General features: G+C 41.9%; 1 protein-coding gene and 1 non-coding gene across 3 annotated transcripts in view, besides 1 other annotated feature; both read right to left on the reverse strand.

Annotated features, from left to right (window-relative positions):
* RERE (arginine-glutamic acid dipeptide repeats) overlaps positions 1-12102 on the reverse strand; it is a 465237-nt gene that overhangs the window by 155942 nt on the left and 297193 nt on the right. For both annotated transcript variants that reach the window (NM_001042681.2, NM_012102.4), the window contains one exon: positions 282-330. In NM_001042681.2, the coding sequence (NP_001036146.1) occupies positions 282-330 (49 nt within the window). The remainder of the gene's footprint in view (positions 1-281; positions 331-12102) is intronic.
* Positions 1122-1622: an enhancer, noted in NCBI's record as "H3K4me1 hESC enhancer chr1:8569526-8570026 (GRCh37/hg19 assembly coordinates)". NCBI's record gives its function as "activates a minimal SCP1, AML or CMV promoter by ChIP-STARR-seq in naive H9 embryonic stem cells {active_cell/tissue: H9 hESC(naive)}" and the evidence as "EXISTENCE:reporter gene assay evidence [ECO:0000049][PMID:30033119]".
* LOC124900452 (small nucleolar RNA SNORA77) lies at positions 3450-3574 on the reverse strand. The gene has a single exon (XR_007067405.1). It is a non-coding gene; the product is annotated as a small nucleolar RNA SNORA77 (small nucleolar RNA).

Here is a 12102-nt window from a genome sequence, read left to right on the forward strand (position 1 = left end):
TACAGAATTTCAGTTTTGCAAGATAGAAAGAGTTCTGGAGATAGATGACGGTGATGGCTATACAACAATATTAATGTACTTAACTACTGAACTTTGCACTTAAAAATGGGAGATGGTAAATGTATGTGGTGATCTGAGGAGGGTGGAAAAAAAACCTCTGTATTTATAAAAAATTCCCGATAGCAATAACCACATTCTAAGATGCTGCGCAACAGAATAAAGTGCCAGCAGAGTAATAAGAAACAAAAACCTATTAAGGAAGCTATGAAAATGAACTTCACCTGATGACTAGGACCGACACGAATCTCCCCCTGGGTACTGTTCAGCCTCCTGGAACAGAAATAGAGCAGATTAAGTTAGCGCAATACAGTTTTGACATAAACATTCACACATTTTTCAAAAAAAGTAATTCTCTTCAAATAAATGAGGAAAAACTGAGGAAGAATTAACGTCCCCACTACTTCTAATGTTCTGTATACATACACCACCCACCACCACACATGCACCTCTAAAACCTTTTCCTTTGAAAATCCTAAGAACTGCAGCTTCCTTTCATGAGAACCTTCCTACATCATCGTTCTTTTTTTGAGACAGAGTCTCACTCTGTCGCCCAGGCTGGAGTGCAGTGGCACAATCTCGGCTCACTGCAACCTCCGCCTCTTGGGTTCAATTGATTCTCCTGCCTCAGCCTCCAGAGTAGCTAGGATTTCAGGTGCCTACCACCACGCCCGGCTAATTTTTGTAATTTTAGTAGTAAATTTCAGTAAATTTTGTAATTTTAATAATTTGGGTTTTCATCATGTTCAGCCAGGCTGGTCTCGAACTCCTGACCCTCAAGGGATCCGCCTGCCTCGGCTTCCCAAAGTACTGGGATTACAAGCACGAGCCACCACACCTGGCCCCTATACCATCATTCTTTCATGCCTCAGAGAGATGGACATTCCTGTAGTACAATTCCAGTCAGACATTTCTTCCGTTCAAAACATCTCAGGGTGCCCTACCATAAGCCTTATAAAATACAAATAAGAAAACTTATCCTAGGACATATACTGAGCCATCCATCCATCCATCCATCCATCCATCCATCCATCCGTCCGTCCGTCCGTCCATCCAACAAATATTTAAGTACCTACTATAAGCCAGGAATTGTCCTAGGTGTTGGGGATAAAGCAACAAACAGGGACAGGTACAGAGGCTCACACCTGTAATTCTAGCACTTTGGGAGGCTAAGGCGGGAGGATCGCTTGAGCCCAGAAGTTTAAAACCAGCCTGGGCAACACAGAGTGACGCCATCTCTACAAGAAAATTAAAAATCAGCTGGGCATGGTGGCGCACGCCTGTAGACCCAGTTACTCAAGAGGATCGCTTGAGCTGGGAGGTCAAGGCTGCAGTGAGCCATGTTCGCACCACTGCACTCCAACCTGGGCAACAGAGCATGACCCTGTCTATAAAAAAGGCAACAAACAAAACAGTGTCAAAGAAGATGGCCTAAAAGGAGGCACATGCTCTTGTTTTTCTCTCATGGATCTGATACCCATACCCACTGTGTTTGAAATTGTTAAAAATACATTTTGGAAAGCTATCGTTTCCTTTAGGGCACCTGGGCCCAGTACTTTCTTCTTTTAATCCAATCATTTTCTCATGAAGAATCTTGCTTGGGCAAAGGTGGTGGTAAATGTGACAAAGGAAGAAAAAAAGAAGAGGAGGAAGAAGGGGAGAAAGGGAGGAGGAAGACAAGGAGGAGGAGGAGAAGACGAAGAAGAGGAAGAAGAAGAAATGTGGTGGCCCAGTCATCAAGAATCTTACAAGCCTCCAGCTGGCGAGGCAGCATCTGTACCAAAACACCAGAACAGGCCGATGCCCGTATTCATCAACATAAGACACTTCAAAAGACACAGTACAAAAATGTGAAGGGGAGGTACCAAAATGAGGCGGCTTCAAGAGAAGACACAGAAGGAGATAATAGGCCTAGCAGCAGGAAAAAAAAAGAGGACTTTCCAAGTAGAAATGAAAGCATGCAGAGGTGGCAGGCTGAAAGGGAGGGGCGGTGACAGGGAAATGCTTGCATGTGGGCTGACTTCATCATACAAGTCATCTTCATTTCTTCATTAGGAGAATGGTATGTGGAAAAACGAAGCTAAAAGATGGATTGTTCTCATAGGTTTATGCAGGAAATGGAAGAAGCTGTTTTAGGAGGTATGTAAAGGAATCAAATCAGCCACAAGTTATTTTAATCACAAGCGCTTCTTTAAGAAAAACAAGCAAGCAGTCAGCGTTACCACTATTTCCCTTCCAACTTGTCCTTTTCTATTTTCTAACTAGCTGTGAGCAAAACAAGCTGCCAAAAGCTCTAAATACTTTCCAAATGCTTTCTTGCCTACAAGTAGGTCTAGCCAGAATGTATCATTTCAGAAACCTTCAGCCACAGCCCATTCAGTAACTTCTGCCTGCAGCTCAACCTTTGGGTTCTTCCAGAAGGTCTGTTACTCTGGAGTTCTCCAGTGGTTGGATATCATTTCCATATCATGGCTACACTGTTAAGTCCTTGATAATTCCAGAAAAAACATTCCTGCTTGATTTTTATTTTATTTTGGAGATGAGGTCTTGCTATGTTGCCCGGTCTGTTCTCAAAACCCTGGGCTCAAAGGGACCCCCACCTCAGCCTCCCAAAGCGCTGGAATTACAGACATGAGCCACCGCACTCACCGCCCAACCCCATTTTTATTTTAATAAGCCAATTTATCATCATATTTAGCTTAAAAAAACCCAATGTACCATGGTAATGAAACAAACTCCCAAATACCCTGTTGACTAGAACTACTTATATCTCACGTATTTCCATAAAAATAGGATGCAGATAATTATTATTAAACTAATAATACAAATGAGACAAAAAAATGTATTGGGCCATCTTAAGAGACTTGAAAATTGTTTAAGTTTATAACAGGGAAGAGTACTAATAAGTAGGCTATAACATGAAAACCAAGATAAAATAAGGAAACTTCTTAAAAGCTTATTTAAAAATCCCTCTTTGCAACAAAAGTATTTTTAAATTGTATGTAACTTTTAAATATCAGGGTTCTATAGCAAGAAATACAACAAAGTTCTTTTTGAGCAGGTAGGATCTGAGGTGCAGACAATGGCATTAGCCTACTATATGCAAGAGTTACAGAATATAGAATAAATGGCAAAAGTACTTTTTAGGTCCAAGATATAAAGAGGTAGATAGCAACACACCACCTTAGACAAAGCTTGATGCAGCTGACAGAAAAACTGTCAGAATATGAGCTGAAGGTGAAAGACAAGAAGTACACATGGTGGGGAAGTGCCAGCATCCAGCTGTATCTGGATCCACCGAGCAATCAGAATCCTCCTTACTGAACTAAGTATCCCTCCCCTGCTGCCGCACTGCTCTCCTCTCTTTTTTCTTTTTCTTTTTTTTTTTTTTATCCTGTATCCCCAGACAGCTGCATCACCCTTGATAGGTCAGGCAGCCACAACACCCCAGAATGTTTCCCTGGCACATGGAAAAAGCACCCCCATGAGGCTGCAGCCAGGTGCAAAGTGAGTCTGTGAACTGCTCCCTTCTTGAATGCACCTTTGTGGTTCACACCTCACTCATTAATGATATTTAAACATGACAGTATCAACAGCTTGTAGGAAACACTCTTTTTTTTTTTTTTTTTTTTTTTTTTTTTTGAGACGGAGTCTCGCTCTGTCGCCCAGGCCGGACTGCAGACTGCAGTGGCGCAATCTCGGCTCACTGCAAGCTCCGCTTCCCGGGTTCACGCCATTCTCCTGCCTCAGCCTCCCGAGTAGCTGGGACTACAGGCGCCCGCCACCGCGCCCGGCTAATTTTTTGTATTTTTAGTAGAGACGGGGTTTCACCTTGTTAGCCAGGATGGTCTCGATCTCCTGACCTCATGATCCACCCGCCTCGGCCTCCCAAAGTGCTGGGATTACAGGCGTGAGCCACCGCGCCCGGCCAGGAAACACTCTTAATCATCAATTGCAATCTTGATGCAATGACTACATTTTGTCTTTTACTTAACATTTCTCAAACTTTTAGGTCTCTGTACCCTTTTACACTCTTAATAATTACTGGAGTGTGTCTTGGTGGTCCCAGAATCTGTCTCTTGTTTCAACAATGTCTGAACAGCACATATCCTGGGACTCCATCTGTTCCAGCCTCCAACTGCCCTCCAATCTCCCCTCCATTTGCAACCTCCAGCACCCTTCTTCTCGGCCATATCCTGCTTCTGGGACCAGCCACCACTGTTTTTGTGGTTAGCTCCTCAACCCCGCAAGCTCTGGGAGGCATGAGTGACTTCTTCCACGAATCGGCCAAGAAGATTCAGGGCACTGAGTGTCTCTTGAAGATGTGTGTGTGGCAGCGGCACCCATTTCCAGGATGTGGAGAAGCCATCTCAAAATGAGTGGGGGTAAAAACCCTGGGTTCCATGGAAGCCACCATGGCTCTGGGGAAGAACCTGAACCAGATCCTCGATCTTTAGGCCCTGGGTTCTGCCTGCACAGACCCCCATCTTCTGTGACTTCCGGAGAGCCACTTCCTAGATGAGGAGGTGAAACTCAACAACAAGATCGGCGACTACCAGACCAACCTCCCCAGGCTGGGCTGGGTAAATGTTTCTTCCAAAAGACTCACCCTCAAGCACCACGAGGAGCCTACAGAGCCCAGCAAACTTTTAGGAGCCCCTCTCAAAGTTCAGGGCTACTGCCTAAGCAGCGCCTCCAGCCACTACCCTGGACCCCTCTCCCAAGCCGTGGACAAAACAGAAATAAAGCTTATTACAAAAAATAAAAATAAAAATTACTGAACATCCCAAGAAATCTAAATTTTTGAAAACTTTCAAAATATTGATTTAAAAATAGCAATAAGCCCATTACATAACAATATACATATTCTTATAAAAAGTAATTGCATTTAAGCAGAAACCTTTAGTAAAAAGTGAGGCATTATTTTATGTTTTTGCAAATCTCATTAATATTTGACTTAATAGAAAAGACAGCTAGATTCTCCTATCTACTTTTGAATTCAATCTGCTGCAATATATTGTTGTGGTTAAATTATATGAAGATAATACAGCCTAACACAGTGATGTAACTAGAAAAGGGAAGAATATAGCCTTTTTGATACTACACCAAAAACTCAACAAGTTCCCGGCACTCTGGGGGGCCGAGGTGGGAGGATCACTTGAGGTCAAGAGTTCGAGACTAGCCTGGCCAACATAGTGAAACCCTGTCTCGACTAAAAATACAAAAAATTAGCCGGGTGTGGTGTTGCATGCTTGCAATCCCAGATACTCAGGAGCCTGAGGCAGCAGAATTGCTTGAACCTGGGAGGCAGAGGTTGCAGTGAGCCAACATCGTGCCATTGTACTCCAGCCTGGGCAACAAGAGCGAAACTCTGTCTCAAAAACAAAACAAAACAAAACAAAAACTCAACAAGTAATCATTTCTTAAAGATGTGTACACAAGGTGAGTCTAAAAGCCTATCAATAGTCTTTTGACTGTGCTACTCTGAAATCCATTGGTCTGTCTTGCCTTTGAATGAATGGATCTTCTACTCAGATGTGATTTTGTAATGTCATGCATTGGTTTTATAGAGAATGTCAGTTTACTCAGTTCTGCAGATCTTTCAAATATCAACCAGTTCTTTATACAGCATTTTTTAAAAATCATATTAATATCACCTATCTCATAAGAAATGCCTTTCAGTGTAGAGAAGCTGTCAGGCTCAGAGTGGTGAGTACAAGCTTTTCGAAATTCTAATTTTTACTTGAAAGTTCAAATCTTAGCCTTGTCAAATAGTATCAGTGTTTTCCTTGAAATAACAAGCTCACTTAATTCATCTTCAAGAAAGTTTCTGCCAAATGCCCACGTCTGAATGACCACAGTTTGTCTGTCAGTTGTTCTTTCAAAGAGTAACTGATATTCCATGAAAAAAGTGGCTAGCTTCGCTTCTAACTCAAATGTCTCGACGGAACCAAGGCTTCTCCTCAAGACAATCACTGTCTTTTGGTATAGGGCAGAAGACTTTTAAGTCGGGAAGCCAAGTCTTGGGATTAAAAAATACTAATAGGCTGGGCGAGGTGGCTCACGCCTGTAATCACAGCATTTTGGGAGGCCGAGGCAGGTGGATCACCTGAGGTCAGGAGTTCGAAACCAGCCTAGTCAACATGGTGAAACCCCATCCCTACTAAAAACACAAAATTAGCCATACCGGGTGGTGTGTGCCTGAATCCTAGCTACTCGGGAGGCTCAGGCAGGAGAACTGCTTGAACCCGGGAGGCAGAGGTTACAGTGAGCTGAGGTCACACCATTGCACTCCAGCCTGGGCAAAAAAAGAATGAAACTCCGCCTCAAAAAAAAAGAAAGAAAAGAAAAGAAAGAAAAGACAAGACAAGAAAAGAAAAGAGAAATAATAATAATAATAATGAGGTCCACAAGCTATGCTCTGAGAAGCACTGATTATGGCACATTCTGAACTTCAGCAAGTGCTGGAGGCTAAAATTCATCTAGAAGACTCCAGCTTTCTTCTTTGATGAATAACAACAGTAGCTAACATTTCAGCACTTACTATCTGTCCTAGGTGCTCTACAGTATTATCTCATTTCTAGGTATTAAGGCATTTAATTCATGTTTTGATATTAACAGACATGTTAGTATTGCTATTCACAGAAATTCAGGTGTCTTTCTATCCTGTGTTCAAAGCAACACAGCACTACACGTGGTGGTGCACACCTGGAATCCCAGCACTCTGGGACGCTGAGGCAAGAGGACAGCTTGAGCTCAGGAGTTTGAGACCAGCCTGGGCAACAGGCTTTATAAAAAATGTTTTTTTAATTAGCTGGTCACGGTGGCACGCACCTATAATCCCACCTACTCAGGAGGCTGAGCCAGGAGAATCACTTGAGCTCTGGAGTTTGAGGCTGCAGTGAGCTATGATCACACCACTGCACTCCAGCCTGGGCAAAACAGAGCTAGACTGTCTTTAAAAAAACAAACAGGCCGGGCGTGGTGGCTCACCTGAGGCAGGCAGGTCACCTGACGTCAGGAGTTCAAGACCAGCCTGGACAACATGGTGAAACCCCACACTACTAAAAATACAAAACTTAGCCGGGCGTGGTGGCAGGCGCCTGTAGTCCCAGCTACTCAGGAGGCTGAGGCAGGAGAATTGCTTGAGTCTGGGAGGCAGCGGTTGCAGTGAGCCAAGATCATGCTACTACACCCCAGCCTGAGTGACAGAGCAAGACTGTCTCAAAAAACAAACAAACAACAACAACAACAACAACAAAACATAGCTACTAAAGAGGTTTCTGCTTGGATGTACAATGCTGCTGAATTAACAAAGTAGGTCTAGTCAAAGCCAGGGTGGTCATCAACTTCGGAAGAAAAATCCAGACCAAAGGCAGTATGAATCCTAGCCAAGACATATAAAGGATACTACTGTATGAATTAAGAAACCAAAGATGCAAGTAATATCCAGAATAATGCAACATACACACACATCTATCTTTATCCTCATCTTAAGAGTTTTCACATACGTTATCTTAAATCTAGGTGTAGGCCGGGTGCGGTGGCTCGTGCCTGTAATCCCAGCACTTTGGGAGGCTGAGGTGGGCAGGTTACCCGAGGTCAGGAGTTCCAAAACAGCCTGGCCAATATGGAGAAGCCCCACCCCTAAAAATACAAAATTAGCCAAGCGTGGTAGTGGGTGCAGTAGTGGGCACCTATAATCCCGGCTACTTAAGATGCTGAGGCAGAAAAATTGCTCAAACCCAGGAGATGGAGGCTGCAGAGAGCCGAGATCCCGCCAGTGTACTCCAGCCTGGGGGACGGAGCAAGACTCTCTCAGAGGAAAAAAAAAAAAAAAAAAAAAATCTAGGTGTATTATAGTTACATAACAAACACAAGCAAAATAATAATACTAGCTATCAATTACTAAGTGCTTTCTATGCTGGGCACATATTATTTCATTATTCCACGACAACTCTATGAGGCAGTATCTCCATAGGTAATAATAATAACAATACTAATTTTAACATTAATAAAGCAACTAATATATCCATTGAACATTTACTATGTACCAGGCATTGCAAGGTAAGCAATTTCCATTTATTTTCTTATCTAATCTTACAGGCGACCCTGTAAGATAGGTGCTATTGTAGTAAGTGTACAGGTCAGGTCACTGAAGCCAAGAGACGTTACGCAGTTGCCCAAGATTAAACAGCAAATAAGTGGAGAAATCAGGAATCCTACTCAAGGTCAGCTGACTCCAAAGTCAGAGCTCTCAATCACACTCCCATATGGCAGAATGATTAAGTTACTGAACCAAAATCACACAATTAATTACAAACAGAATGATGAGAATCCATATCCCTTTCCCTATTTTGGTTCTATGTTTATTTCAAACACCCAAGCAAGACAAAATGATCAAAAGAATTTTTTTAAGTTTGAAAGTCATGATGAAAGAGAAAAACCTATCAAAGTTAGAGGCCAATGTATATAATACTCTTGAAATGACAAAATTACAGAAATGGAGACACATTCGTGATTGCCAGGTGTTAGAGATGGTGGGGAGAGGGAGGGAGGCGGAGGGTGCGACCACAAAGGGAGAGCTTTGTAGTGATGGATAGCTCTGTCTCTTCATTGTTGTGGTGGTTACACAAAGCTATCCATGTGATAAAATGGCACAGAACTACACGCACACAATCTACTAATGCCAGTTTCCTGGTTTTGGTATCGTATTACAGTTACAAAAGATGAGACCACTCTGTGGTATCTTTGCAACTTCCTGTGAATCCAAAAAATTTAAAGTTTTAAAAAAGTCAAATGAAGGGGGGGATATACTACAGGCAGATGGGAAATCAGAAAGAACACCAGACATGAGAAAAGCTGATTAAAGGACAAACAGATCAACCTCAAATTACACTGTACACAGCTGAACCAGTAACTGAAGAAAGAGGGCCACAGCTTATTAGCAATGAGATTCAAGAAATTAACTCCAAGTGACATATTTATTTTTTCCTTATGTTTACTAAGGATTTCTGCTGTGGATTCATCATCTTGGAGACATCTTTATACTGTGAATCATATTACAAAAACCGAATTAAGAAGTGTCACTATCATCCCCAGCAAAAGAAGGAATTTCTCTGTGTAGCTAATGTAAATAATATGTTTTTCAAAACAACTTAAGTTCAGCCTACATTATTCTACAAATCTTTGTTTTAGAATATGAAAAAAATAGTTCCAGAAGCCAAATTACAACAATAATGGTAAGTTGTTGTTTTTATTCCTGAAGTATTAAAAAAACAGAAAGTCATTGTATATGAAATCTGATACAAAAAAACCCCAGTGTAACAAAGCAGTATCCATAGCAACTACAACTTAATATTTCAGTCCTCTTCAACTGCAGTGGATTAAATAAAATGACAAGATGTTCCCTTTGAAAAGTAACCTGTTACCATGGAAACGTTTTATTCTAAGAAGTAAACAGGGAATGGACAGAAAGGAGCAGGGAGCCTGTAAATGAATATCAAAAAGGGAGAAGCATCTTTGCAGAGGAGATGGAGGTGGCGATGGCAGGCAAAGGGAGGGTCTGTGAGAAGAGCATGCCTGCTAGATGCAGGATCCCAGCCCAACCCAGAGGCTTGGCCCAGAACATGATGCGGCCACTTCTTCACCCTGAAGAAAGGGGAAGGGGCAGGAAGGCAATGTTCTGTGAACATTCACCAAAGACGCCCAAAGATCTCTATGTGATCACGGTGACTGCTTAAGATAGGCACTTGATTCTACAAGGGAAGATGAGGGAGGAGGATAGAGATATGGGAAGAACACATGAACAGAAGGCACCACCATGAAGCAACTAAGGGCAAGAGCTGACCCCCTCATTCAGCCCCTCCCCAAGCCTTGGGTCCTAACAGTCGTGTAGCCTGTGGCCCATTCCCAAGGTGCTGGGACAGAAAAGGCTCAAGTCAGACCCTTGTTCTGTGGCTGGCGTCATGTATGAATGAGATCACTGAGAAATCTCTCTCCCTGTCCTTCAGATGGTAAATATCACACAGCAGACATTCTTATCTTTTCCACAGGGTATTAAGTTGAGCAGGAAGACTGACATGGCATCAACAGAATGAAGATCTTAGAAACGCTACTTAGTACACATTTAGAAAATGACCACAGAAGAAGTCTGTGGGTCCAGAACAAAATACACTACATTTTAAGAAAACCAAAAGGCAATTTATCAGAATCACTTTTTTAGATGGATTGTGAGGTAGGAGTGAAAGCGAGGATTAAGAAGGAAGACTAGTGCAATATGCTGGGTTTCTCAATTTTCCCCAGCATGAACACATACTTCAAAGCTGCCCTGAACAAGTCTGAAATTTCTTTTTAAAATCTAACATAGTATCTTAAAAAGCCATGCGAATGTTGTATTCTATCCCATCATATATTCCCATTCATTTTTAGAGAAAAATTTCCATAAATCTGAATAAAATCATTGTGCTGGCCGACTCTGGGCACACTTTCTGTGGGTTAGCCCTGCTCCTTAAGAAACAGCAATAAATAAATAAACAAATAAACAAACAAACATTAAAAGAAACATCATTGTACTTCCTATTAGGATCTCCCATGACACTGTCACACCCACACCTGAGTCTAGATGTTCAAAAGCAGGGAAAGAGCATGGTCTTCAGAATTAAATGAACCTGAATTAAAATTTTAGTATCAGGCCAGGCATGGTGGCTGGCTCATGTGTGTAATCCCAGCACTTTGGGTGGCCAAGGTGGGTGGGTCCCTTGTGCCCAGGAGTTCAGGACCAGCCTAGGCAACATAGCAAGACCTAGTCTCTGCAAACAAACAAACAAACAAAAAACCCAACCAACCAACCAAACAACAAAAACAACAAAAATTAAAAATTAGCCAGGCATGGTAAAATGCACCTGCAGTCCCAGCTAGTTGGGAGGCTGACACAAGAGGATCACTTGAGCCCAGGAGTTTTGAGGTTGCAGTGAGCTATGATCACACCACTGCACTCCAGCCTGGGCAACAGAGCAAGACCCTGTCGCTAATAAAATTTTAAAAATAAGTTTCAGTACCCAGGTTTTGTTTGCTCTGTGATTTTGAGGACACAATTAAATCTAATTCCTTAGTTTCCTCATCTATGATATGAAGTTGATAATGTTATTATGCAAGGTTGCTATAAAAATAAAAGATGATTTATGGAAAGAACTAGACATAGTACCTATTGCTTAGGGGTCATTAATATTATTAAACTCTATATACTGGCAATAAGTGAGAATGGAAGCTAATCCTGCTATTATGAGTTCCCGAAGTACCACTTACCTCTCCTTCCACCCATATCACAGTCAGGATTTTATATTTATTTTTTGTAGTTATTTCTTTGAATGGCTGTCTTGCCCTCTAGACTGGAAGTACATGCGGGTAAGAACTAAAACTGGTTTTGGTCACCATAATGCAGAACTCACTGGCTCTTACTAGATACATTTTTAATAAATAAATGACTCCAATATTCTAACTCAACTACTGCTTAGCCACAGACAGCAAGCAAGGGCTCTGCTGCAAAGCTTAGCTAGTGAAGTCCCCGTGACAGAAAGCCAGCCCTCCAAGCAAAATTAACTTAAACGTAGGTTTGATTAAACTGCCTAACAGGAACAAAATTCATTATTCAATCAAAAATAAAACTAAAAACAAATACAAATGAAAAAACAAAGAGATTTAGTCAACTTAAAGTTACCACTTCCATATTCACACACAAATAAATACAAAGGCCAACACAAGAACTTGTCCAAAATCCAAAATCATAAAATTCTAAATTTTCTCTGTGGAAAGTTCCTGAGAGGCCATTGATCCAATCTTCTAGCTTAATAGAAGAAATCAAGGCCTGAGGAAAGAAAAGTGCTCTTTTAAGGGGTCACACTGAGTTAATTACTGAAGAAGACTCCAGGCCACACCGGCAGCTCTCCCACAGGGTCCTCCTAAATATAATTCAGGGTCCAGAACTAGAAATTTGGCATTGCCTGAAGAATAATAAGAATTTCCATGCTGGTAAGATGCAGTAAA

The sequence above is a fragment of the Homo sapiens genome, chromosome 1, assembly GCF_000001405.40.
Source record: "Homo sapiens chromosome 1, GRCh38.p14 Primary Assembly".
NCBI lineage: Eukaryota > Metazoa > Chordata > Mammalia > Primates > Hominidae > Homo > Homo sapiens.